The sequence below is a fragment of the Homo sapiens genome, chromosome 6 (genome assembly GCF_000001405.40).
Source record: "Homo sapiens chromosome 6, GRCh38.p14 Primary Assembly".
NCBI classification, from domain to species: Eukaryota; Metazoa; Chordata; class Mammalia; order Primates; family Hominidae; genus Homo; species Homo sapiens.
This window is the reverse complement of record NC_000006.12, coordinates 10,482,632-10,507,703: the sequence shown is the minus strand read 5'-3', so window position 1 is coordinate 10,507,703 and position 25,072 is coordinate 10,482,632.

Here is a 25,072-nt window from a genome sequence, read left to right as displayed (position 1 = left end):
ACATGAGCTGAGGGCCTAGTGCTGGCTAACATTGCCAGGAATAGCTGTCATACTAGAAAAATCTACTTGTAAAATGGTAAAAATAGCAGTATGGATTTGTAGAGGGTTTTCACACATACTATGTCATCATCATTTAAAGCAGGGTTGCTCACCCTTGGCACTATCAATATTTTAGACCAGATAATTGTCTGTGGTGGGGCCTGTCCTGTTCATTGTTGCACGTTTAGCAGCATACGTGGCGTCTACCCACTAGATGCTAGTAGCATCCTCCCCCTCCCACTGTGACAACCAAAAACGTCTCCACGCACTGCTAAATGTCCCCTGTGGGGCAACCTTGGACGAATAAGCTACCTTCCAAAAGAAGTAAAATGCAGCTAACAAAACTTTATGAGGTTTGTATAATGACTTGTAATAGCAGGGCATGATGACATGCACCTGTAGTACCAGCTACTGGGGAGGCTGAGGCGGGAGAATTACTGGAGCCCAGGAGTTCAAGGCTGCAGTGCATTGTGATCCAGCCTGTGAATAGCCACTGTACTCCAGCCTGGGCAACATAGCAAGATCTGCTCTCTAAAGAGCAAAACAAACAAAAACAGTGTATGATGCTACCTGGCACATAACAGGCACTTAATAATAAGAGCTGTTATTATTTAATAACATCATATAAAATATATGAAATTGAGTAGCTGGATATTGAGTATAACCCATTAATGGGACGTTGAACAATAGAGGTTCACTGGATAGGAACTGGAATATTTTTATTCGAAATCTGGCTCTACCTCTAAGTAGATGTGTGATGTTGGCAAAATCACTGAGTCTCTTTGGGTCTCAGCTCTACCAACTATTAAGGGAGATTACATAAACTTGCCCTGTGTATTTTATAAGGTTATAATGATATTAAAAGTTATATAATAAAAGGAAGGTACTCTGAAAGTAGGAACTTGTTACACACGCAAGCCACTGTTATGATGCAAATTTTCTGTAACGACTTTATTGAAACTTAATTCATACACCATACAATTCTCCCTTTTGAAATGTACAGTTCAGTGGTTTTCAGTATATTCACACAAGGTTGTGCAACCATCATCTCTATCTAATTCCACAATATTTGTATTATCCCAAAAGAAACCATCCAACCATTACATCCCTGCCCCAACTCCCTGGGTCCCTGAGAGCTGCTAATCTACCTTCTGATTCTAAAGTCTTTCCTATTCTGAACATTTGACAACTAGAATATGGTATAAATTTTAATAGTTCCCTTCACAGTACTGTAACAGTCTAAGCTGTCTCACATTCTTTTTGGAAGAGAAGAGGTGTGTTTGTTTTATTAGAATAAACAATAGTGTTCTTTTTGTCAAGAATATTATATATGCATATAGTTAAAATTACATATATAGTTTATATATATATATATATATATATATTTTTTTTTTTTTTTTTTTTTTTGAGACAGAGTCTCGCTCTGTCACCCAGGCTGGAGTGCGATGGCACGACCTCAGCCCACTGCAACCTCCACCTCCAGGGTTCAAGTGATTCTCCTGCCTTAGCCTCCCAAGTAGCTGGGATTATAGACACACACCACCACACCTGGCTAACTTTTGTATTTTTAGTAGAGATGGGGTTTCACCATGTTGGCCAGGCTGGTCTCAAGCTCCTGACCTCAGGTGATCTGCCTGCCTCAGCCTCTCAAAGTGCTGGGATTACAGGCATGAGCCACGGTGCCCAGCCGTATTTTAACAATATTTTTATCCCAGAAATAGCTCAGGGATAGAATAAGTGTTCTAGAATTGTTCCCATGCTGCTCAGTGAATGTCAAACCACCTTTGTGACTGAAGCCCATGTAGAAAAGACTTGTGAAATAGTATTGTGGAAGCACTCTCATATTCCTGCCACCAGTAATGATTTTCCTTTGTTCTTTGAGGTTCATATTTGCTTTAGTTCTAAGACCCACAGGGGGCCTGTTTATTCCCAGCTAGTTTGCGTAAGAAAGGACGGTTTGTGAAATGCTTTATGAACAGGTCTGGCCGGCCAATCAAACACTCAGCATGGCGTTGTCAGGAAGCTTGCCTCTCACCAGAAGGGGCACATCTGGGAGTTCTCACTGTACTAGACCATCGCTAGGTGGAGATCAGGCAGCTCCAATGGAATACTTGAAAGTGGTTAAGAACGGACCCATTGTGATCCTTTTTTTCGGGGGGGAGAGTCTCACCATCTTTTTCAGGCTGGTTTTGAACACCTGGGCTCAAGCAATCCTTTCACTTTGGCCTCCCAAAGTGCGGGGATTACAGGTGTGGGCCACCATGCCTGGCCCCTAATATTTATTCATGTTCTACTTAAGAAATGCCTTTCCTATACCAAGGACTGAGGTAGATAGGTGCTGAGTATTTGGAATACAGGGGTGAGAAACAGATACTTTTTTTTTTTTTTTGAAACAGGGTCTCACTCTGTCGCTAAGGCTGGAGTGCAGTGGCATGATCTCAGCTCACTGCAATCTCTGCCTCCCGGGTTCAAGCCATTCTCCTGCCTCAGCCTCCCTAGTAGCTGGGACTACAGGTGCCTGCCACTGCGCCCAGCTAACTTTTGTATTTTTAGTAGAGATGGGGTTTCACCATGTTGGCCAGGGTGGTCTTGAACTCCTGACCTCAGGTGATCTGACCACCTAGGCCTCCCAACGTGTTGGGATTACAGGTGTGAGCCACCACGCCCAGCCCAGACACATTTCTTCCTACACAGATGCACACACATACATTCACATATACACAGAATAAAAAGACTGGGATATATACACAAGAATGTTAACAGTGGTTCTCACTGAGTTGTAGCATTATGGATTATTTTTATTACTTTTACTCTATTCCAGAGCTTGCACTGCTTTTATAAGCAGGGAAAAGATTTTGTTCAGTCTCAATGTGTGGAGCTAATTTCTGAAATCCAGAAATGTCAAAGCGGAAACTGCATCTGCTCTAGGAGTATCACAGTGGACCAAATACCACATCCTGAGACAGTACCATGTTTCAAACTATGGCAGGAGATCTGAAATTCCTGAAAGAAATACCCAGAGACTTCTGGGCAGTTTATGTTCATGAAAAGAAAAAAATATATCTGGTATTTTTATGAAGTTCTTTTCTGTGTTCTGAAAAACTTAATTCACTTTAATGAAATTAAGAGATTAATCAAGAATAAATTAAAACACTATCCTTTTTTCTACATATTCTTTCCAGATCCAGGAGAGGGTTCGGTGGGGGGAAGCAGTCATTTCTGGCCTTCCCTTGCCTTCTGACCTCCTGGCCACTGAAGTGCACAGGCCAACGCCAAATTTAATAACCTTCAGAGACAGATGTTTGTAAAGTGGAGCCCGGGCTTGATTAATTCAAACAGTGTCTAAAATCAGTGTTTGTTTTATTCCCTTATATTTGAAGTTTAAATGTCTACTGGTTATTGATCAACTTTTATTATGGATTTACTCATACAAAAAGGCTATTTGAAAAGGGCTAATCCCTCCCCCACCTTGAAAGTTGACAATTTAAACTAGCTCAGAAGAAGATCTGCGAAGCGGTAAAGAAACTTGCTTGGCTTTATTTCTTCCAGTGTTGCCCAAACTCATTTTTTTAGCTAAGTTTCTTTTTTATTTTGAGACGGGGTCTTGCTTTGTCAGCCAAGCTGGAGTGCAGTGGCATGAATATGGCTCAGTGAAGCCTCAACCTTCCGGGCTCAAGCAATCCTCCTGCCTCAGCCTCCCAAAGTTGAAGTGCTGGGATGACAGGTGTGAGCCACCACGAGTGGCCCTATGTGAGCTTGTTTGACAATACAGTCCTCTTTGGTAGGGTAATGTCTAATTGAATTATATAATGTCTGAAAATATATGTATATCTTTTTTTTTTCTTTTCAGACAGGGTCTTGCTTTGCTACCCAGGCTGGAATACAGTCGTGTGAACACAGCTCACTGCAGCCTTGACCTCCTGGGCTCAAGAGATACTCCTGCTTCAGCTCCTTAAGTAGCTGGGACTACAGGCACGTACCACCATGCCTGGCTAATTTTTTGTATTTTTTGTAGAGATGGGGTTTTGCCATGTTGTCCAGGCTAGTCTTGAACTCCTGAGCCCAAGTGATCCACCTGCTTTGGCCTCCCAAAGTGCTGGGATTTACAGGCGTGAGCCACCGTGTCTGGCCTTGCATATTATTTATAATGAGGAAGCTAACTTGATAATTGAGTTAATAGAATGAAGGCATGTTTAAAAAAATCAGGTGTTCTGACCAGACCCAGAGTTCCCACTTTGACTTGGAGAAAAGTTTAATTTGTAAATTTATACATTCCTATAGCATTTGAATTTGTCATAATAAGCAAATGCCTTTGAAATATTGAGGTTTTAAAAAGAGATTAAAATGCCATTAAAAGACACATATGCCAAAAGAAATGCAAAGAAGTGGATGAGGTTCAGGCCAGGGAGAAAAACAAACAAACCTGGGAACAATAAGTTGCACCAAATTGGGGTTCAGGGACAAATTTTTATAACAATTAGAAAATAAAGATACAATAACAGCAACAAGAAGAATCCAATAATGGTGAATGTGAACCTCAGAAGAGAGCACGGTAGGAGAGCCTGACACAGGAGTGAAAAAGCCGAAGGAAGCTCAGCTCTGCAGGATACTGAATCAGCAAGAGCAGGGCCAAGGATGAAGGTTTACAATTCTCAGTAGCCTTCTTCTTTCATGCCACTGGTGTTTAAGTTCAGAATCAAGGAACATTCTAGCGTATACATTATCGGGAATAAGTCAAGTAAGTTGTTAAACCAAAATGAAAGCTTAATTAGATAGCAATTCAGTAATCAGGACGCATATTTCATCGTTACTATAGCCAACAGTTTGCAAACATAGGACATCACACAGCACGGGACAGTGAACTCCGAAAGAGGGGAAACTAATGATATGAGCCCCGCGATTGCCCCAGCTTACTGAGTACAGAGTTATTCTGCCACAGGGCAGGCAGAGGAGTCCAGGGGGAGCCTGGCCATCTCCTTGAATGGAGCAGACAGATTTGAGAGTTTGAGGAGGTCAAGACTGCTGAGGTTCCTAGGGTGGAGTTACTGTGAAGGAGATAGTCCAGAGAGAGAACTCCAGACACATGCAAGAGGGTCTCCCTCAAGTCTTTAGCTAACGACCGATCAGGAAATATGCAAAGAAATGACCCAATGCCAAGGAAAGAATGACCCGAGGATTAGAGAAAAGAAACAGCAAAGCTTACACGGGGCTAACAATTGTTTGTGTTCCTTCCAGCTGGAGTAGAAAAACCTTGTAATTCTAAGTCATTAGGTAGTATACTTAGAAGGGGATTGCCTCAGCACAGTCAAACTAGATGAACAGCTGCCACAAAACCACGAAGGATATAGAAGGTCGACCTATTTGACATAGAAAGAGCCCTTCACCCAACAATATGAGAATATACATTCTTGGCCGGGCGTGGTGGCTCGTGCCTGTAATCCCAGCACTTTGGGAGGCCGAGGCGGGTGGATCACTTGAGGTCAGGAGTTCAAGACCAGCCTGGCCAACAAGGTGAAGCCCTGTTTCTACTAAAAATACAAAAATAGCCAGGCGTGGTGGCTCATGCCTGTAGTCCCAGCTACTTGGGAGGCCGAGGCAGAAGAATTGCTGGAACCCAGGAGGCAGAGGTTGCAGTGAGCTGCGATCACACCACTGTACTCCAGCCTGGGTGACAGAACAAGAGTCCGTCTCAAAACAACAACAACAACAAAGAATACACATTATTTTCATGTACACATTTACCAAATAGATCATCTTCTGGGCCATAAAGCAAGTCTTGATAAATACACCAGGGTTCAGGTCCTATAAGGAACGTTGCTTCTCATGTGCCCACTTCCCCTTTGACCTTCTCTGCCATGTTTTGACGTAGCACAAGAGCCCTTACCAGCAGCCAAGCAGAAGCCAGTGCCATGCTTCTTGTACAGCCTGCAGAACCATGAGCCAAAAAAGTACCTTTTCTTTTTTTTTTTTAAAGGATGTTCTCTGATCACGTGGAATTAAGTTGGAAATCGGTAACAGGAAGATATCTGGAAAATGCCCAAATATTTGGAATTTCAGACCATACTTCTAAATAATTCGTAGTCCAAAAGAGACACTAAAAGGGAAATTAGAAAGGACTTTGTGCTTAATGAAAATGAAAACATGATGTATCAAAATTTGTGGGATTCAGCTAACGCAATGCAGAGAAAAATTTACAGCATGAAATACCTACATTAAAAAAGAAGAAAGTTCTCTCATCAATGACTTCAGTTTCCTCTCTAACAAAATAAAGCAAGAGGCTATATTAAACCCAAACCATGCAGAATCAAAGAAATACTAAAGATAGGAACAAAAATCAATAAACTGAAAAACAGGAAAAAAATGGGGAAAAAAAAATCAATGAAGGCAGAAGCATGTTTTTTTTTTTTAAGATTAAAATTTTTTTTCTTCAACTTTTAAGTTCTGGGGTACATGTGCAGGATGTGCAGGTTTGTTACATAGGTAAATATGTGAGAAGCATGTTCTTAAAAATAAAGACCAATAAAGTTGATTTTTTAAATAATGAGGAAAAGATTTGAACAGATTATTAAAGAAGACACACAGAAGGTAAATAAATACCTGAGAAGATATTCAAAATCATTATTCATTGCAAGCTTAGTGCTAATTAAAATCACAAGGAAATATTGTTATAATCCCACTAAAATAGCGAAAATTAAAGAGATTGGCCATACCGTGTGTTGGTGAGATGTGAATCAACTGGAAATTTCCTATCCTGCTGGAAATGTAAAATCACACAAACACTTTGGACAATAGTTCAGTAGTTTCCTAAACTCTTAAATATACCCGTCGTAAGACCTATCCATCCCCTCTAGGTACAATTGCTTCTCATTATTCGAGGTAGTTATTTCTATAAAGTTGCCACAAACTGAATTAGCTAACTCTGAAATATTGTCGCTAGAGGATATATATCTAACATGGATTATAATCTTAAATCTCCAAGACAACTCATCCTGATTGATTTTCTTTTATTTTATAAAAGAGAAAACTATGTTCCAAAGTGTTAAGAGTCTTGCCTGAGATACTCCACCAAGGGGCGTTTTCTGCTACTGATTTCCAACTTAATTCCGTGTGATCAGAGAATATTCTTTTAAAAACATCCAAGGTCCTAATGCTCCGGGATCTACAGGCGCCGGAGGTGAGATTCAGATCTGTCCAGCTGGCCCCACAGCTGCAACTTTTTGCCCTATAATGTATAATGTTCCCTCCCGTTTCTCTTTTTTTTTTTTTTTTGAGATAGAGTCTTGCTCTGTCGCCCAGGCTGGAGTGCAGTGGCATGCTCAATCTCAGCTCACTGCAACCTCCACTTTCCAGGTTCAAGCGATTCTCCTCCCTCAGCCCCCTGGGTTGCTGGGATTACAGGCGCCTCCACCACGCCTGGCTAATTTTTTGTATTTTAGTAGAGATGGGGTTTCACCATGTTGGCCAGGCTGGTCTCGAACTCCTGACCTCACGTGATCCACCTGCTTCGGCCTCCCAAAGTGCTGGGATTACAGGCATGAGCCACCATGCCTGGCCCCGTCTCTATTTTCTAGTCACCTCTGTGTATGAGCTGAAACAAGAAAGTAGAGTCATCTTGTTCAACCTTAGCTGGGAATGTGCAAGCCTGGGAACTTAGACTTTTGGCAGCTCTGCACATATGGGCAAGTGACCATGAATACTACTTGTAAGGTTAATACTTTTGGGGTTACACAAACATGTTAATGAGTAGGTGAATTTAAAACACATAACCCGCAAATAAGGATCAACTATATTTATTCCAGGGAATTCAAATCATATGTTGGTATATACTCTTGTATATAGCTGTTTATGACATCTTTATTTAAAAAAAAAAAAAAAAAAAAAGCCTGGCACAGGGGCTCATGCCGGTAATCCCAGGACTTTTTGAGGCTGGATGGGCAGATCACAAGATCAGGAGTTCGAGACCAGCCTGTCAACATGGTGAAACCTCATCTCTACTAAAAATACAAATATTAGCCATGCATGGTGGCGTGCGCCTTTAATACCAACTACTCGGAGGCAGAGGCTGTAGTGAGCTGAGATCGCGCCACTGCACTCCAGCCTGGGTGACAGAGCAACACTCCATCTCAAACAAATAAAAAAAAAGTGGAAGTAATACTAATGTCTATCAGCAGGTGAATGGATTAAAAAAAGTATGGTATAGTCATACAAGGGAATACTTCCCAGTAATAAAAGGAGTAAACTATTAATACGTGCAACAACATGGACAAACCTCAAAATATTAATGCTGAAAGAAGCCATACCAGAAAACAAAGTTCCTGCTATAAGATTTCATTAATATAGAAATCTAGAAAATGCAAACTAAAAGTGCAAACTTTCTATAGCGACAGAAAGTCAATCAGCAGTTATCTGGAAGGGAGACATCTCAAAGGGACCCGGGGAAACCTTTTGGGGCTGATGAATATGTTCTGTGTTTTACTGAAGTGATGATTTCACAGATATTTTAATAAGTTAAAACTCATCAATTGTACATGTATGTGAAGTTTATCTCAATTATATCTCAGTGTTGCTAGGTTGGGTGGAATATGGGAGAAAGAAAAAATTAAATTGGTATAGTAATCTATATCCATTAAATTCTATAGAATGGGGCTGGGTGCCGTGGCTTATGCCTGTAATCTCAGCACTTTGGGGGGTTCGAGGCAGGCGGATCACCTGAGGTCAGCAATTGGAGACCAGCCTGGCCAACATGATGAAACCCCGTCTCTACTAAAAATGCAAAAAAATTAGCTAGACATGGTGGTGCACACCTGTAAACCCAGCTACTGGGGAGGCCAAGGCAGGGGACTCGCTTGAACCCAGGAGGTGGAGGTTGCAGTGAGCCGAGATTGTGCCACTGCACTCCAGCCTGGGCAACAGAGCAAGACTATGTCTCAATAAATAAATAAAATTCTATAGAATGGTTATTACATTAGTAAATTAAAATCTAGCTGGGCGCAGTGGCTCACACCTATAATCCCAGCACTTTGGGAGGCCAAGGCAGGTGGCTCATGAGATCAGGAGATCGAGACCATCCTGGCTAACACAGTGAAACCCCATCTCTACTAAAAATACAAAAAATTAGCCGGGCATGGTGGCAGGCACCTGTAGTCCCAGCTACTTGGGAGGCTGAAGCAGGAGAATGGTGTGAACCCGGGAGGTGGAGCTTGCAGTGAGCCGAGATCAAGCCACTGCACTCCAGCCTGGGCGACAGGGTGAGACTCCGTCTCAAAAAATAAATAAAAGATGAAAAATAAATAAATAAAAATCTAATCTATTGAATAACTGAATTCTAATCTATTGAATTCAATAGAATGGTTAAATACCAAATTAATGCATATTGTACTGCCTAAGATATGAATGAATGGAATGATATGGAATATTTGCAAACACTTGTAACACACAATGTGCCATGCGCTGTTCTGTGCTCTTTACATACAATGAATCATACTCACAGCAACCCTATGAGAGGGATACTATTATTATCCTCCTTTTACCCAAGAAAAATATGAGGCACTGAGAAGTTGATTAACTCTCCCAAGGTCACACAGGCTTGAAGCCATAGAACCACGTCTCAAAAGCAGGCAGTTTGGTGCCAGAATCCATGCTGTTAGCAGCAAAGGTCCATCATGTTATTTTTTTCTTTTTTTTTTTTTTTCAAGATGTAGTTTCGCACTGTCACCCAGGCTGGAGTACAATGGTGCAATCTAGGCTTACTGCAAACTCTGCCACCGGGTTCAAATGATTCTCCTGCCTCAGCCTCCCGAGTGCTGGGATTACAGGTGCCCACCACCACGTCCAATTATTTTTGTATTTTTAGTAGAGACGAGGTTTCACCATGTTGGCCAGGCTAGTCTCGAACTCCTGACCTCGTGATCTGCCCGTCTCGGCCTCCCAGAGTGCTGGGATCACAGCCGTGAACCACTGTGCCCGGCCTGGGTCCATCATTTTCTTCTTGAAGGAAGACAACTAACATTTATTGAGCAGCTACTACATATCAAACACTATGTTTAGTCCTTCCGCATTCACTGTCCAACTTAATTCTCACAATTACTCAAGAGGAAGCTATTATTATCCCAAGTTTTTAGATGAAAAAGCTTAAATCCAAACCAGGTCCCACTGTGATTTTATGCATGAGCTGTATTTAAACTTTATTACATCGGCCTTGCCCTCCACGTCTTTTCCACTGGTCTATTTCCTGTTCACCTCTACGTCCTACATCCACAGTGCCCAGGACAAAATTTAACTGCTAAGTTAGCTATGAAAGGATGGACACATTCTCCCTCACAATACAATGAAATGGCAAATTATAAACAGGGGAGGATGGAGCCAGGTGATCCCCAGTTCTCAAAAAACAATCTAACACTTTTCCCCCAGGTGGTAGAGTTTAATCCCCCCACCCCTGAGGGTACACTGATTTCATAACTCACATCCAAAGAATGGGGTATGGAAAGAGAAAAGGGGTCACTTTACTGTGGAGAAGCCTGGAAAACATTATCTTGACCGAGGGATCAAAGATAACCCCTCAGCGACATCCTGTGTCTACTGTACCCCCGATTTGGCATGATGAGAAGGGCGTTTTACAACTCTGTGGTATTCTTTCCCCCCAGAACTCACAACTGCAGTCTAAGCATGAGAAAAATGCATCGAACAAACCCAAATTGAGGACCATTTGAAAAAATACCTGGCTAGTATTCCTCCAAACTGTCAAGGTCACGAAAAACAAGGTAAGACAGAAACTGTCATAGAGCAGAAAAGACTAAGGAGGTACAACAACCAAACACAACGTGTAATATGGGCTGGATCCTGGAACAAAAAGCAACCTGAATGGAAAAACTAGTGAAATCAGAATAAAGTCTGGGGTTGAGTTAGTATAATGCATCAGTGCTAATTTCTTAGTTTTGACAAATGTACCACAAATGTAATATGAGTTGATAATATTAGCAGCAACTAAAATTGGACAATGGGTATATAGGGATTCGGTACTACCTTTGCAAATTTCTTGTACATTTAAAAAAATTCCAAAATAAATTTTTTTTAAAAAAACCTAATCAGCAGCCCTTACTCAGGCAAAAGCAGAGCGTGGTCCGTTTTTGCTTAGGAAGAGATATTTAGGGGCGTGGTGGGCACAGCCTGCCTTTCAGACCACCCTTGTATCGCTATGGAGCCTGTGGCCCTGCAGCCAGGTCTCCAGCACAAGCCCTGAGTCCACAGAGCACCAGCTGGGTTATGTTTAATACTTTGTTAGAGGAGCTTAAGCATTAACCTCCCTCCAAGTAGAAAATTGACCTTACACAGAAAATAAGGGTCAATGTTCCTTAATTGTGGCATCTCTTCATAATCTGATTCAATAACACTCCAGAAAAATTTGGGATACAGGGCCAAAAGTCTGCTAATTGGGCTGCCCCACTGGTGAGAAGAGCAGAGTCCTGGTTCCTGAGTGTTAACTGTATGAACTTCAGCAAGATTCTGAACTCAGAGGAGCTGAGGTGATAGCTAGATGGATGAATGGATGAATTGACAGACGGACACAACTTAAAGAGTTTTCTCTCAGCAAACTCCTTCCTTAGCCAGGCATTAGTGGTGCAATCTCAGAATTTTCCAGAATACTACACCTTTCCCGTAAAATCCTACCAGCCTCACATTATAACTTCACAGAGCTTTTATTTTGCTTTTTAAAAATTTGTTTGGTTTTGTTTCACAAACAACATTACTGTATGGTAATGAATACTAATAGTTAGTTGCCCCTCAGAGAACAGTAGACAGACTTTCCCGATCCAAATAAGAGCAATTTTGGGGCTGGGTGCAGTGGCTCACCCTGTAATCCCAGCACTTGGGAAGGCCAAGGTGGGCAGATCACTTGAGATCAGGAGTTCGAGAGCAGCCTGGCCAACATGGTGAAACCTCGTCTCAACTAAAAATACAAAAATTAGCCAGGCATGGTGGCAGGCACCTGTAATCCCAGCTATTTGGGAGGCTGAGGCACGAGAATTGGTTGAACCTGGGAGGCGGAGGTTGCAGTGAGCCGAAATCACACCACTGCACTCCAGCCTGGGTGACAAGAGCGAGACTCTGTCTCAAAAAAAAAAAAAAAAAAAAGGGTGAATTTGGCCAGTGTAGGGTCATGAGGGCTGTGTGCTTGGGGGCAGGTTATGGACCAACTGCTGTGTAAGCCTGTTGCATTTACAAAGTAGGCAATAAATCATACAGTTTAAAAAAATCACTTGAGAGAATGCACTAGAGCAGATCATACTTATACACATGCACGCACGCATGCACACGCATGCACACACACACATGCACGCACATATTCCAGAGAGTAACATGAAGTTTTCAGAATCTAAGGATTCCAGGTGTTTCCTGCTTTCACCGCCAGGGAAGCAGAAATGACCGCTGTTAAACAGACATCCCCTGCAAGAAGTCCTCAGCGCTAGTTCGACGCATTTGGTACACAGCAGAGAGAGACCATGAGCCCTGGGTGCTATCACAGAACTATAGCCGTGCATGGCTTTTGCAAAGGCGATTCCAAAACAACCGAGAAAACGGTAGAAGCAAGGCTGTACCAGGCTTTCTGCTGCCGACCACACACTTTCAAAAATCAATGACTGCTGCTGTTAACAGGCACTTATTAAGGGTGGCCCGGACCTTAATGATCACTAAGATCCTCCCAGGAAGAGCGACTATCACTTGAGTAACTACTGAACTTCATCCAAATAAATTTCCCATCCCACTACTAATGTTTTCATGCAAAGAACCAAAGACTTTATATCTTTTTAAAAGTAAAAAAACAAAACCAAACCAAAATCCGACATTGGCGATGCACACACAGGTCTGAGCAGGTTTCCCTTGTTACCCACTGTGGTTCGGAGCCGCAGTACCTTTGTCGCCTTCCTGCCCAGTTACTTTACTGCAAGGGGGACCGTAATCCTTGACGCCACCTTTTTGCGTTCCTTGTGGAAACAGGCGCTGCCCCGACTACATGCTTTTTCCACGTCGGAGTCGGCGCAGCAGCTCCAAAGCCTTCCAGTCCTCACAGACTCAGCAGAGCTGGCAGGGCCAGCGGGCACCACTGAGTCCCGCGGAGCCAGGCCCAGTCTCTTTGCTTTACTGACGCAAATGTCTGCGGAACTTTTTTTTGACTTGACGTCTATGGTAAGATAAATGCTACCACCACTAAAGGTAGCAAAGAAATGGCCTGGTGACCTTTCAAAAACCTTTTGCCAGACTTTTTCAAATCTCTGATTTCGATTCGGGCAGAGAGGGAGAGCCAAGATTCTGGGGTAGGCTGCCCAGACCTAAGAGGTAGGAGACGGTCTCTTAATGTTTAAGAGGGGGACGTGGAAATGACATTTTTCTCAAGGCAAGTTTGCACTTGGGGCACGATCAAACTTGTGCATGCACTTCACTCAACAATGCTTTTTGCACTATAAGGCGACAGTGGTTGATGTTTTGAGAAGGTGAGGCCCTGGGAGTTGGGTGCAGGTATATCTGGTTTTGATTCTTTCCCCTCCCCAGGGTTCTCAGATGCCAGCTGAGGTCTCATCCATCCACACAGCAGTAGGAAACCAAGGTCCTAATGCTCCGGGATCAATGTGAACTTGTGTGTGTGTGAGAGAGAGAGACGGAGTCTCGCTCTGTCTCCCAGGCTGGAGTGCAATGGCATGATCTCAGCTGACTGCAACCTCCGCCTCCCCCCTCCTGGGTTCAAGCAATTCTCCTGCCTCAGCCACCCAAGTAGCTTGGATTATAGGTGTGCATCACCATGCCTGGCTAACTTCTGTATTTTTAGTACAGTTTCACCATGTTGCCCAGGCTGGTCTTGAATTCTTGACCTCAGATTATCTGCCTGCCTCAGTCTCCCAAAGCGCTGGGATTACACGCTTCAGCCACGGCGCCCCGCCGTGAACATTTTAGTAATCCATTGCAGAGTTCCATGAAATCCGTTTAACTGGCTCATTGGAATTGATAAGGATTATCTATTGCATTCAAGACTAAGACTGAACTCACGGTGGCCACTCAGAGCTACCAAAGACCACCCTGGTGCGATGAATCATGTTTTTGACCCCCGTAACCAGTTCGTTTCAAGCACCACTAGAGAAAACGGGTCCATTTAAACTTCAGGACTTTTTTTCCGCCGTTCCTCATTTTTAGTCGTCATCCACAGATTTTCATTCTTTCCAAAAGCATGTAAACATATTTATATGGAGGTGAAGACACCAGCTCACATGACATGGATGCAGCACTGGTACATAAACTTATTTACCAGGCACAATGGCTCATACCTGTAACCCCAGCACTTTCGGAGGCCAAGGCAGGCAGATCACCTGAGGTCAGATCGAGACCAGCCTGGCCAACGTGGTGAAAATCTTTATTAAAAATAGAAAAATAGGCCAGGCAGAGTGTGTCACTCCTGTAATCCCAGCACTCTGGGAGACTGAGGTGGGCAGATCACAAGGTCAGGAGATCAACAACATCCTGGCCAATGTTGAGAAATCTCATCTCTACTAAAAATACAAAAAAATTAGCCAAGTGTGGTAGTGGGTGCCTACAGTCCCAGCTACTCAGGAGGCCGAGAGAGGCAAGCCACTTGACCCCGGGAGGCAAAGATTGCAGTACACAGAGGACACCACTGCACTCCAGCCTGGGCAACAAAACCAAAAATGATCAGTAAATAATTTGGCTGGGCCTAGTAGCACATACCTGTAATCCATACTTGGGAGGCTGAGACAGCAGAATCGCTTGAACCCGTGACATAAGCCACAGTGTGCCAAGATAGTGCCACTGCACTCCAGCCTGGGCAGCACAAGTGAAACTGTCAAAAGAAAAAAAAAATCCTCTATAGTTTTCACAACTGCGTGTGGAATTAGTGGGTTCTCAGTCTGACTTCAAGCATGAAGCTGTGGACCCTCACAGAATTACAATTGTTAAACATGTGACCCCAGTTTATTTCTTCTGTTCAGATGTGCTCAAAGTTTCTTCTCTCTGGTGGGTTTGCCTCTTTTGTTTCTTCTCTATAGTGGGTTCGTGCTCTTACTGACTTCAGGAATGACATTACAGATCTTCACATTGAGTGGACTGGGAGCATTACACACCTTCCTAATCTCACTAACTTAAAAACTGAAGCTACCTACTTTCCCACTGAGTGCTACAGCTTTTTTTCAGAATCCCGCTGCTTTAACGACCAAAGCTACAGACAGAGATGGTAAACCTCCCAGCTCTTAAGCATAGAACACCTACCGTGATTCATCCCACCCAGTTGATTCTTTATTCACTACTTCTGGCAGAGTAGTAATCTTAGTCTATAACTGAAGCTACAGACTTTTACTATTAGTCCTGCAGATCAAAAAGATAACACAAACCCAAACAACAAGTCTATAGCAACACAAAGAACAGACGTAAACCAGTTATCCTTATTGATTCAGGCAGCCTGCTTTTATTCCCTTATCTGACCCCACCCACATCCTGCTGATTGGTCCATTTTACAGAGAACTGATTGGTCCATTTTACAGAGTGCTGATTGGTCCATTTTACAGAATGCTGATTGGTCCATTTTTGACAGGGTGCTGATTGGTGTGTTTACAAACCTTTAGCTAGACACAGAGTGCTCACTGGTGCGTTTACAATCCTTTAGCTAGACACAAAAGTTCTCCAAGTCCCCACAAGATTAGCGAGACACAGAGTGTTGATTGGTACTTTTACAAACCTTTAGCTAGACACAGAGAATGCTGATTGGTGAGTTTACAATCCTTTAGCTAGACACAAAAGTTCTCCAAGTTCGCACCCCTCCCAGAAACCCAGCCGGTTTCACCTCTTACCGGCAGGCGCTGGGGCACTTTGCAGCACCCAATTCGGGCACTCTGGCAGCCCAGAGGGAGCTTTTTCCCTAGTCAAGCCCAGCAGACGTCAGTTGACAGTGAAGTTCGGCGACTGCCGAGACCGCGCGCCGGCCACGAGCGCCGCGCGCAGCCCCGGCTCCCGCCCGCGGCTCTCCCTCCACACTCCCTGCGAGCAAAGGAGCTGGCTTCAGCCTGGGCCAACCCCAGAGAGCGGTTCCCACAGCGCAGCGGTAGGCTGAAGGGCTCCTCAAGCACGGCCAGAGTAGGCGCCGATAGCGAGGGAGGGCTGCTGGCACATTGTCATTTCTCGGTTCCACGTTACAATTGAGAAAATGGAGGCAGGTGAAGTCAAGTAACTTGCCCTAAATCAGAAAGTGAGAGATCTGTTTTGAATCTAAGTATCCTAATTTCAATGCCCATGCGCTGTTGATTGACCACACTGCCAAGTTCCACCCAGCCACCTTGACCTTCCACAAGAACCTCAGCCCAGGGATGACAGGGCCTGCAAGAAATCCCACCACTAGAGGCTCTGAATTCCATGTTGGCATGGGAGTTACCAGTTACACTAGAGTCAGACTTGTTGAGTTTGTGCCCAACAATAAAGTGTCCGCAAACCTCACTTAACTTCTGGAAGCTCTGATTTCCTTATCCATTGAAGGGAGATGCTGGCTGGGTGCGGTGGCTCACGCCTGTAATCCCAACACTTTGAGAGGCTGAGGCGGGTGGTTCACCTGAGGTCAGGAGTTTGAAACTAGCGTGGCCAACATGGTGAAACCCCGTCTCTACTAAAAATACAAAAATTGGCCGGGTGTGGTGGCACGTGCCTCTGGTCCCAGCTACTCGGGAGGCTGAGGCAGGAGAATCTCTTGAACCCAGGAGGCAGAGGTTTCAGTGAGCCGAGATTGCGCCACTGCACTCCAGCCTAGGTAACAGAGCTACACTCTGTCTCCAAAAAAAAAAAAAAAAGGGTTGGGGGGTGGCGAGATGTTACTAGTATTCCACTTGTAAGATAGTTTTGAATATCAGGTAAGATAAAGCATAGTAAATCCAGGTCTGTCTATTCTATACCGCTCAGCTCTGAGCAACCCCTGCCAGTAGGTAATGAGAAACCAAGGCAATTTTCCCTGGTTTTGTGCTTCCAAATAGTCTTTTTATTTTATGGAATCTTTCAAAAACTTTAGGGAAATATAATTGTCTGATTTCTAAAGCCATTTGTTCATTCATTCATTCATTTCACAAGAACACATTGCAAGCCCAGAGCCCCTCGTTTAAAAAAAAAAAAAGCCTTCAATTTAACACAGATGAACAAATGAAGTCTAAGGCACTGGGTGGTCAGCATCTGAAGGTGGGGCCTGGACAGAGGGTCTTAAAAGTAGTGGTCCTCAGCCTTTTTGGCACCAGGGACTGGTTTTCGTGGAAGACATTCCATGGATGAGTTACTGGGAGTTGGGACTTCCACAGATGAGGATGGATGAGGGCAGGGATGGTTTTGGGATAAAACTGTTCCACCGCAGATGATCAGGCATTATGTTTTCATAAGGCATGTGCAACCTAGACCCCTTGCATGTGCAGTTCAAAATAGGGTTAATGCTCCTGTGAGAATCTAATACCACCACTGATCTGACAGGCGGTGGAGCTTAGGTGGTAATGCTCGCAAACCTGCCACTCACCTCCCGCTGTGTACCTGGTTCCTAACAAGCCACAGACTGGTACCTGCCTGTGGCCCAGGGATTGGGGACCCCTCCTTTAAAAGAACTCAAGAGCAGTTGAGAACCCCAGAGATTGGGGAAGTCTCCACAAAAAAAAAATGTTGAGCCTTTGGGCCTGGAAAGATTTGGATAGAAACACCAACACAAATGTTCCACTCTCCAGATAAACTAAAGTTGACAAACACCTGGGGCATCAGATTAATACTGGGAATCTTGGGCTCATTTCCACCTTGGACAGGCTTCCCCCACAAGAGTTTTAATGCCTTTTCTTCCTGACACATGTCCGCACGTAAACAGTAATCAATGCTTAGGTTGTGTTTCATTAAGACATCAGCAAACAGCATCTTTCCTGCACTAGCAAAGCATGGGTTTGCAAGGACTATTTCAAAAGCTCAGAGCTCCTATCTCAAGAGCGTAAGGCTGGACTGTGAGAGCTCAGGTCCAGAGAAGCCAGGAAGCACTCCTTCTTCCCCAGTCAGAATGGCAGTGGCAGGTAGCGTGTGCTATTCCTGCCCACTTTGTGGAGCTGCTCTGTTCTGATGCCTGTGGCAGGGTGGTCTGGTGGCTAAGAGGCCATGAGAGCAAATTTGGCTTCAAATTCCTGTTCTTTGGTCTTTACTATCATCTTAGGCAAGGTGTATATCTCATCTCAGTCTAGTTTCATCATTCCTAAGAGATGGACTGTTACGGACTGAACTGTGTCCTCCCAAATTTCATCTGTTGAAGTCCCAACTCCCAGTAACTCAGACTGTTACTGTACTTGGAGATAGGGTCTGTAAAGAGGTAATTAAGGTAAAATGAGGTTATAAGGGCATGGCCCTAATCCAATAGGACTGGTGTTTTTCTAAGAAGAGGAAGAGACACCAGGAGCATGTCACAGAGGAAAGGTCATGTGGGGACACAGGGAGAAGATGGCCGTCTGCAGGCTAGGAAGAGAGCCTTCACCAGGAACTAACCCTGCTGGTAACTTGATCTTGGACTTCCAGCTCCAGACTATGAGAAAATAAATTTCTGTTGTTTAAGCCATGCAGTCTGTGGTATTTTGTTATGGCAGCCCAAGCTAGCTAATACAGGGACCAAAACAGTGCCTAGTTTCCTGGATTAACGTGAGAGCAAATGAGACTATGTACCTAGCACATAAAAAGCAATGGAGATGCTTATCTTCCTCTTCTCCATCATCATCATCATCAGCAGCAGCATCAAAATGTGCTACCTCCCAGGAGACATTCAGTGCTGATTTCTCCCAGGGAAGGGATGCTCCTTACAAGTCATCTTACATAACTTCCACCATTTTCATCAATAGATAGTTGTTACTCATTAAACATATATATACAGATTATTTATGGATCATATGTATATATACATGGATTATATATATGTGTATTTCATATATATATGTGTATAATCCTCTTTACAAATTCTCTAATACATAATTCTCTTTACAAATTCATTTGGCTGAGCAAAGAATAAAACTCACAACCTCATTAACACATCAAATACAAAAAGCTTCACACATTGGCAGTCCTTTAAAGCACGGTAGAAGCAACATGAGACCACAGACTGGAAGTAGGATTCAGGAAACAGTCACACAGCTGGCACTGAGGGGTCAGGTACCTAAGCCTGGGATGAGTAGAGTGAATGGAGATCTTGGGGGTTTCCTGAGATCAAGGACTTGGATTAACAAAGAGGTCACCAAGTCTGAAGTCAGGTAGAAGAAAAATCCCGCATCTTAAAAGGCACGCGAAACGGGTGAGAAGGGAAAAAGCCTGGAGATAAGGGGGCTGTACCAGTGAGAGGTGACAGCGTGCTGACAGCCCTCAGCCCTGGCTCGCTCTGAGCGCCTCCTGGGCCTGGGCGCCCACTCTGGCAGCGCTTGAGAAGCACTTCAGCCCACCACTGCACCGTGGGAGCCCCTTACTGGGCTAGCCAAGGCCGGAGCCGGCTCCCTCAACTTGCGGGGAGGTGTGGAGAGACAAGCCGGGCGGGAACCGGGGCTGCGTGCAGCGCTTGCGGGCCAGCGCGAGTTCCGGGCGGGTTGTGGGCTCAGCGGGCTCCGCACTCGGAGCGGCCGCCGGCTCGCAAGTCCGGGGCAGTGAGGGGCTTAGCACCTAGACCAGGAGCTGCTGTGCTCGTATTTCTCGCCGGGCCTTAGCTGCCTCCCCGCGGGGCAGGGCTCCGGACTTGCAGCCCGCCGAGCCTGAGCCTCCCCAACAGCCCAAGCCTCCCCGATGAGCACCACTCCGTGCTCCAGAGCGCCCAGATCCCATACGACTGCCCAAGGGCTGAGGAGTGCAGAAGTGCAGGCGCACAGCGCGGGACCAGCAGGCAGCTCCGCTTGCGGCCCTAGTGCAGGATCCACTGGGTGAAGCCAGCTTGGGTCCTGAGTCTGGTGTGGGACTATGGAGTACCTTTATGTCTAGCTAAGGGATTGTAAATACACCAATCAGCACTGTCTCTAGCTCAAGGTTTGTAAACACACCAATCAGCACCCTGTGTCTAGCTCAGGGTTTGTGAATGCACCAATCGGCACTCTGTATCTAGTTAATCTGTTGGGGACTTGGAGAATCTTTATGTCTAGCTAAGGGATTGTGAATACACCAATCGGCACTCTGTGACTAGCTCACGATTTGTAAATACATCAGTCAACACTCTGTATCTAGGTAATCTAGCGGGGACATGGAGAATTTTTGTGTCTAGCTCAGGGATTGTAAACGCACCAATCAGCACCCTGTCAAAACAGACCAATCAGCTCTCTGTAAAATGGACCAATCAGCAGGATGTGAGTGGGGCCAGATGAGAGAATAAAAGCAGGCTGCCTTGAGCTTCCAGTAGTAATAAGCTGTAACCTACTTTTGCTGTGTGGAAGCTTTTTCTCCTCCTCCTCCCTCGTTTTGTTTCTGCTTGGTCTTTAGGTCTGTGCTGCTTTTGTGAATTGTAGCACTCATTATGAAGGTCTGTGGCTTCACTTCTGAAGCCAGTGAGCCCACAAATTCACTGAGACGTAACTCCAGACGTGCCAGTTTTACGAGCTATAACATTCACTGTGAAAGTTAGTAGCCTCACTTCTGAGCAAGGAAGACTACATAATCCACCAAAAGGAAAAAAACTGAACACATTGGAACATTAGAAGGAGCAAGCTCCAGACATGCCGCTTATAAGAAATTTAATACTCACTGTTAAGGGCCCATGGTTTCATTTTTGAAGTCGGTGAAACCGGGCACTGACCAATTCTGGACACACCAGCAGCCCTGGAAAAGCATAAGTTTGTGAAGACTATTTGGAAAGTCTGAGTCCCTGTCCCTGGAGTGTGTCTTTTCTGTGTGTGTGTGTGGTTGTGTTGGTTTTTTTTTTTTTTGGAGTTTTTGGTCTTGGTTCCCAAGTTGGACTGCGTATGATCTCAACTCACTGCAACCTCTGCTTGCTGGGTTCAAGTGATTCTCCTGCCTCAGCCTCTGCTAGCAGCTGGGATTACAGGTAGGAGGCACCATGCCTAACTTTTGTATTTTTAGTAGAGATAGGGTTTCACCATGTTGGTGAGGCTGGTCTCGAACTCCTGACCTCAATCCGCCTGCCTCAGCCTTCTAAAGTGCTGGGGTTACAGGCATGAGCCACCGCAGCTGGCCTACAAAAAGTTTTAAACTATCCAGGCATGGTGGCATGCCTGTGGTGCAGCTATTCAGGAGACTGAGGTGGGAGGATCACTTGATCCCAGGTGAGCTCTGATTACACCGCTGCATTCCAGTCTGGGCAACAGGGCAACTCAGACAGTTGATGTCCAAGATCAGTAGCTGGGAGGGGCAAAATTCTCTCTTAGCCTCTTTTTTACCTGTTCAGGTCTTCAGTTGATTGGATGAGATCCATCCACATTAGGAAGATAATCTGCTTTACTCAGTTTACCAATTCGAAGGTGAATCTCACCCAGAAACACCCCCACAAACACACCCAGAATAATGTTTGACCAAATATCTGGGCACTCCATGGCCCGCCGAGTCGTTGACATGTAAAATTACCCTTTACGCCCAATAAGAAAGTTAAGGTGCCAGGCACAGTGGCTCATGCCTATAATCCCAGCACTTTGGGAGGCCGAGGTGGGGGGATCATTTGAGGTCAGGAGTTCAAGACCAGTCCGGCCAACATGGTGAAACCCCATCTCTACTAAAAATACAAAAAATTAGCCAGGCGTGGTGGTGGGTGCCTGTAATCCCAGCTACTTGGGAGGCTGAGACAGGAGAATCGCTTGAACCCAGGAGGCGGAGGTTGCAGTGAGCCGAGATTGTGCCATTGCGCTCCAGCCAGGGCGACAGAGTGAGATTCCAAAAAAAAATAAAAAAGTTAGGGTCAGGAAAGCAGACGCAGATTTTTCAATCTGCCTGGAATAAAGTGCTGTGGTGTGTGTTTCTTTTTCTTTTCCTGACCTGACAGTGTTTGTGACGATGCTGCCTATAAAACAGAAGACACTTGTTCATCCAGCACAGCTGCCAGCAAGATCATCTAGATTAAAGTCACTACGCCACAGCAGGTGACGAAGATGTGTTCTCTGAAATTATAAAGTGACTCAAGCTCTGAAAATCTGTGGAAAGAAACTTAAGGACAGAAAATCCTAACAGGTCTCAACGGCATCTGTTCATTACATCTTTTCCAAAAAGAAGTCCATCCTCTCATTTTTTCTTTTTAAACAAGACTTTCATCCTAGCACAAACCTATGACCAAAACGTCATCAAAAGGAAGGAAAGGAAGAAGGTTGAGGAATGAAAAAAAAAGTCAGATGAGTGATTTTACATACACGATCTCATTCAATTTATTGCTCGCCAAGACCTATAAAAATAGATATTAACCTAGCAATTGTACTCTTAGGTATTTATCCCAGAGAAATTACAATGTACATTAACATAAAAACCCATATAAGAATGTTCATAGGAGTCTTGTTCATAATAGCCCAAAATTTGGAGACAGTCCAAATGTCCTTTAATGAATAGTTAAACTGTGTACATCCAAACTACAAACTATCACTTAGCAATCAAAAGGAACAAATTCACAATAAATGCAACAACTTGGATGAAGCTCCAAGGAAGTATGCAGAGTGGAAAAAAATCCCACACACGCCTACATGATTCTATGTATATAACATTATTGATAATACAAAGTTTTGGAAGTGAACAGATTTGTGGCTGCCAGGCATTGAGGGGGGTCATGATGAAGACAGGTAGGTGTGGCTGTAAAAGGACAACAGGAGAGGTCAGAGTTCTTTGTGGTCATGGCTGGGGAAGTAAATACACAAACCTACACATGCGATATAGTTATTTAGAACAAAATACACATGAGTAACAGTGAAACTGAATAAAATTGGTAGTTTATGTACATTTTAATATACTAGATGCAATATTGTATGATAGTTTTGCAAACTTTACTGCGGGAAGCTGGGTAAAGGGTACATGGAATCTCTCTGTAGTACTTTTTACAATTGGATCTACAGTTATCCCCAAATAAAAATTTTAATTAAAAAAATAGATAATATCGGCCGGACATAGTGGCTTATGCCTGTAACCCAATGCTTTGGGAGGCTGAGGTGGGAGGATCACTTGAGGCCAGGAGTTATAGGCTGCAGTGAGCTATGATTATGCCACTGGCCTATAGCCTGGGTGACAGAGCAAGAACCCCTTCTTAAAAAAAAAACAAAACTGTTATCTCCATTTTGTAAAGGAGGGAACCAACCCAGACGTGGTTTTTCTCAAGAGCATTAAAATTAGTAAGCCATTAAAATTGGTGGAGCTAGTTTTTTTTTTGTTTTTTGTTTTGAGATCGAGTCTCACTCTGTCACCCGGGCTAGAATGCCTGGAATGCACAATCTCGGCTCACTGCAACCTCCGCCTCCTGGGTTCAAGCAATTCTCCTGCCTCAGCGCCGCCCCCCCACCCAACAAAAGTAGCTGGAATTACAGGCATGTGCCACCACGCCTAATTTTTGTATTTTTAGTAGAGATGGGGTTTCACTATGTTGGCCAGGCTGGTCTCGAACTCCTGACCTAAGGTAATCTGCCCACCTCGGCCTACCAAAGTGCTGGGATTATAGATGTGAGCCACGGTGCCCCTGTGTGTGTTTTAATGACACATTTTGTATCTTCAGGCACACCTCACCACAAATTATTGTGAGCCACTGACTCCTACATGATGCCTTGGCTTAGATTCATTCATTCACCGTTTCACTCTCCGTGGGCACTTTGGAAAACCTGGAGGGAACAGCCACTGCACACAACCCTCCTAAGAGCAGGGGCGGCAAGGATTACTGGCCCCATTTCACACTGGAAGGAGCCTGTTTTCACGTCAGCCAGGGCAGCTCCCAGGCCCATGCCCCTGACTGCCCCACGGAGCTGCCAGGTGGGGAGAAAGGGCGAAGGGATGGAAGCCACTCGGCCAGCTTCTCAACTTGACTTAGTAAGAGCTGTGCTAGAACCATTAGAAAAACAGACATGAAAAATAGCAAAACCATCAAAAGCTGGAAGTGAGGAATAGGTAACTCTGCTGCTACACTATGAGAACATGTGTCTCCGCCAGGACACTCCAGAAAGGATGCTATTCTGTGACTCACGCCCCCATCCCATATGTGGTATAGTGGAGGCCCTACATCTAGGGCCATTGGGCACAATTCATCTGTCTCTTTTATTTTTATCTTTTTTCAGAGACAGAGTCTTGCTGCTCTGACACCCAAGCTGCGGTGCAGTGGTGCCATCCCAGCTCACTGCAACCTCTAATTCCTGGGCTCAAGTGATCCTTCCAAATAGCTGAGACCACAGGTGCGTGCCACCATGCTGAGAGGTGACAACGTGCTAGCAGCCCTGGCTCGCTCTCAGCACCTGCTCGGCCTTGGTGTCCGCTCTGGCCAAGATTGAGGAGCCCTTCAGCCTGCCGCTGCACTGTAGGAGCCCCTCCCTGGGCTGGCTGAGGCCTGAGCCTGCTCCCTGTGTTTGCCAGGAGGTGTGGCTTGCGAGATGTGGAGAGAGAGGCGCTGGGCGGGAACCGGGGCTGCTCACGGCGCTCGCGGGCCAGTGCGAGTTCCCAGCGGGCGCGGGTTCCGCACTGGGAGGGGCCGTCAGCGCTGCCGGCCCCAGGCAGTGAGGGGTTTAGCACCCAGGCCAGCAGCTGCAGAGGGGGCGCCGGGTCCCCCAGCACCGCTGGCCCGCTCTCGCCGCGCTCGAATTCTCTCCGGGCTTCAGCCACCTCCCGCGGGGCAGGGCTTGGGACCTGCAGCCCGCCACGCCCGAGTCCCCCGCAGTGGACTCCCAGGCGGCCCAAGCCTCCCCTAACGGGCGCCCCCCTCCTCCGCCGGCACCCGGTCTCATTAACTGCCCAAGGGCTGAGGAGTGTGGGCGCACACCGCCGGACTGGAGGGCAGCTCCGCCCACGGCCCTGATGGTGGATTCACTAGGTGAAGCCAGCTGGCTTCCTCAGTAGAGTTGGG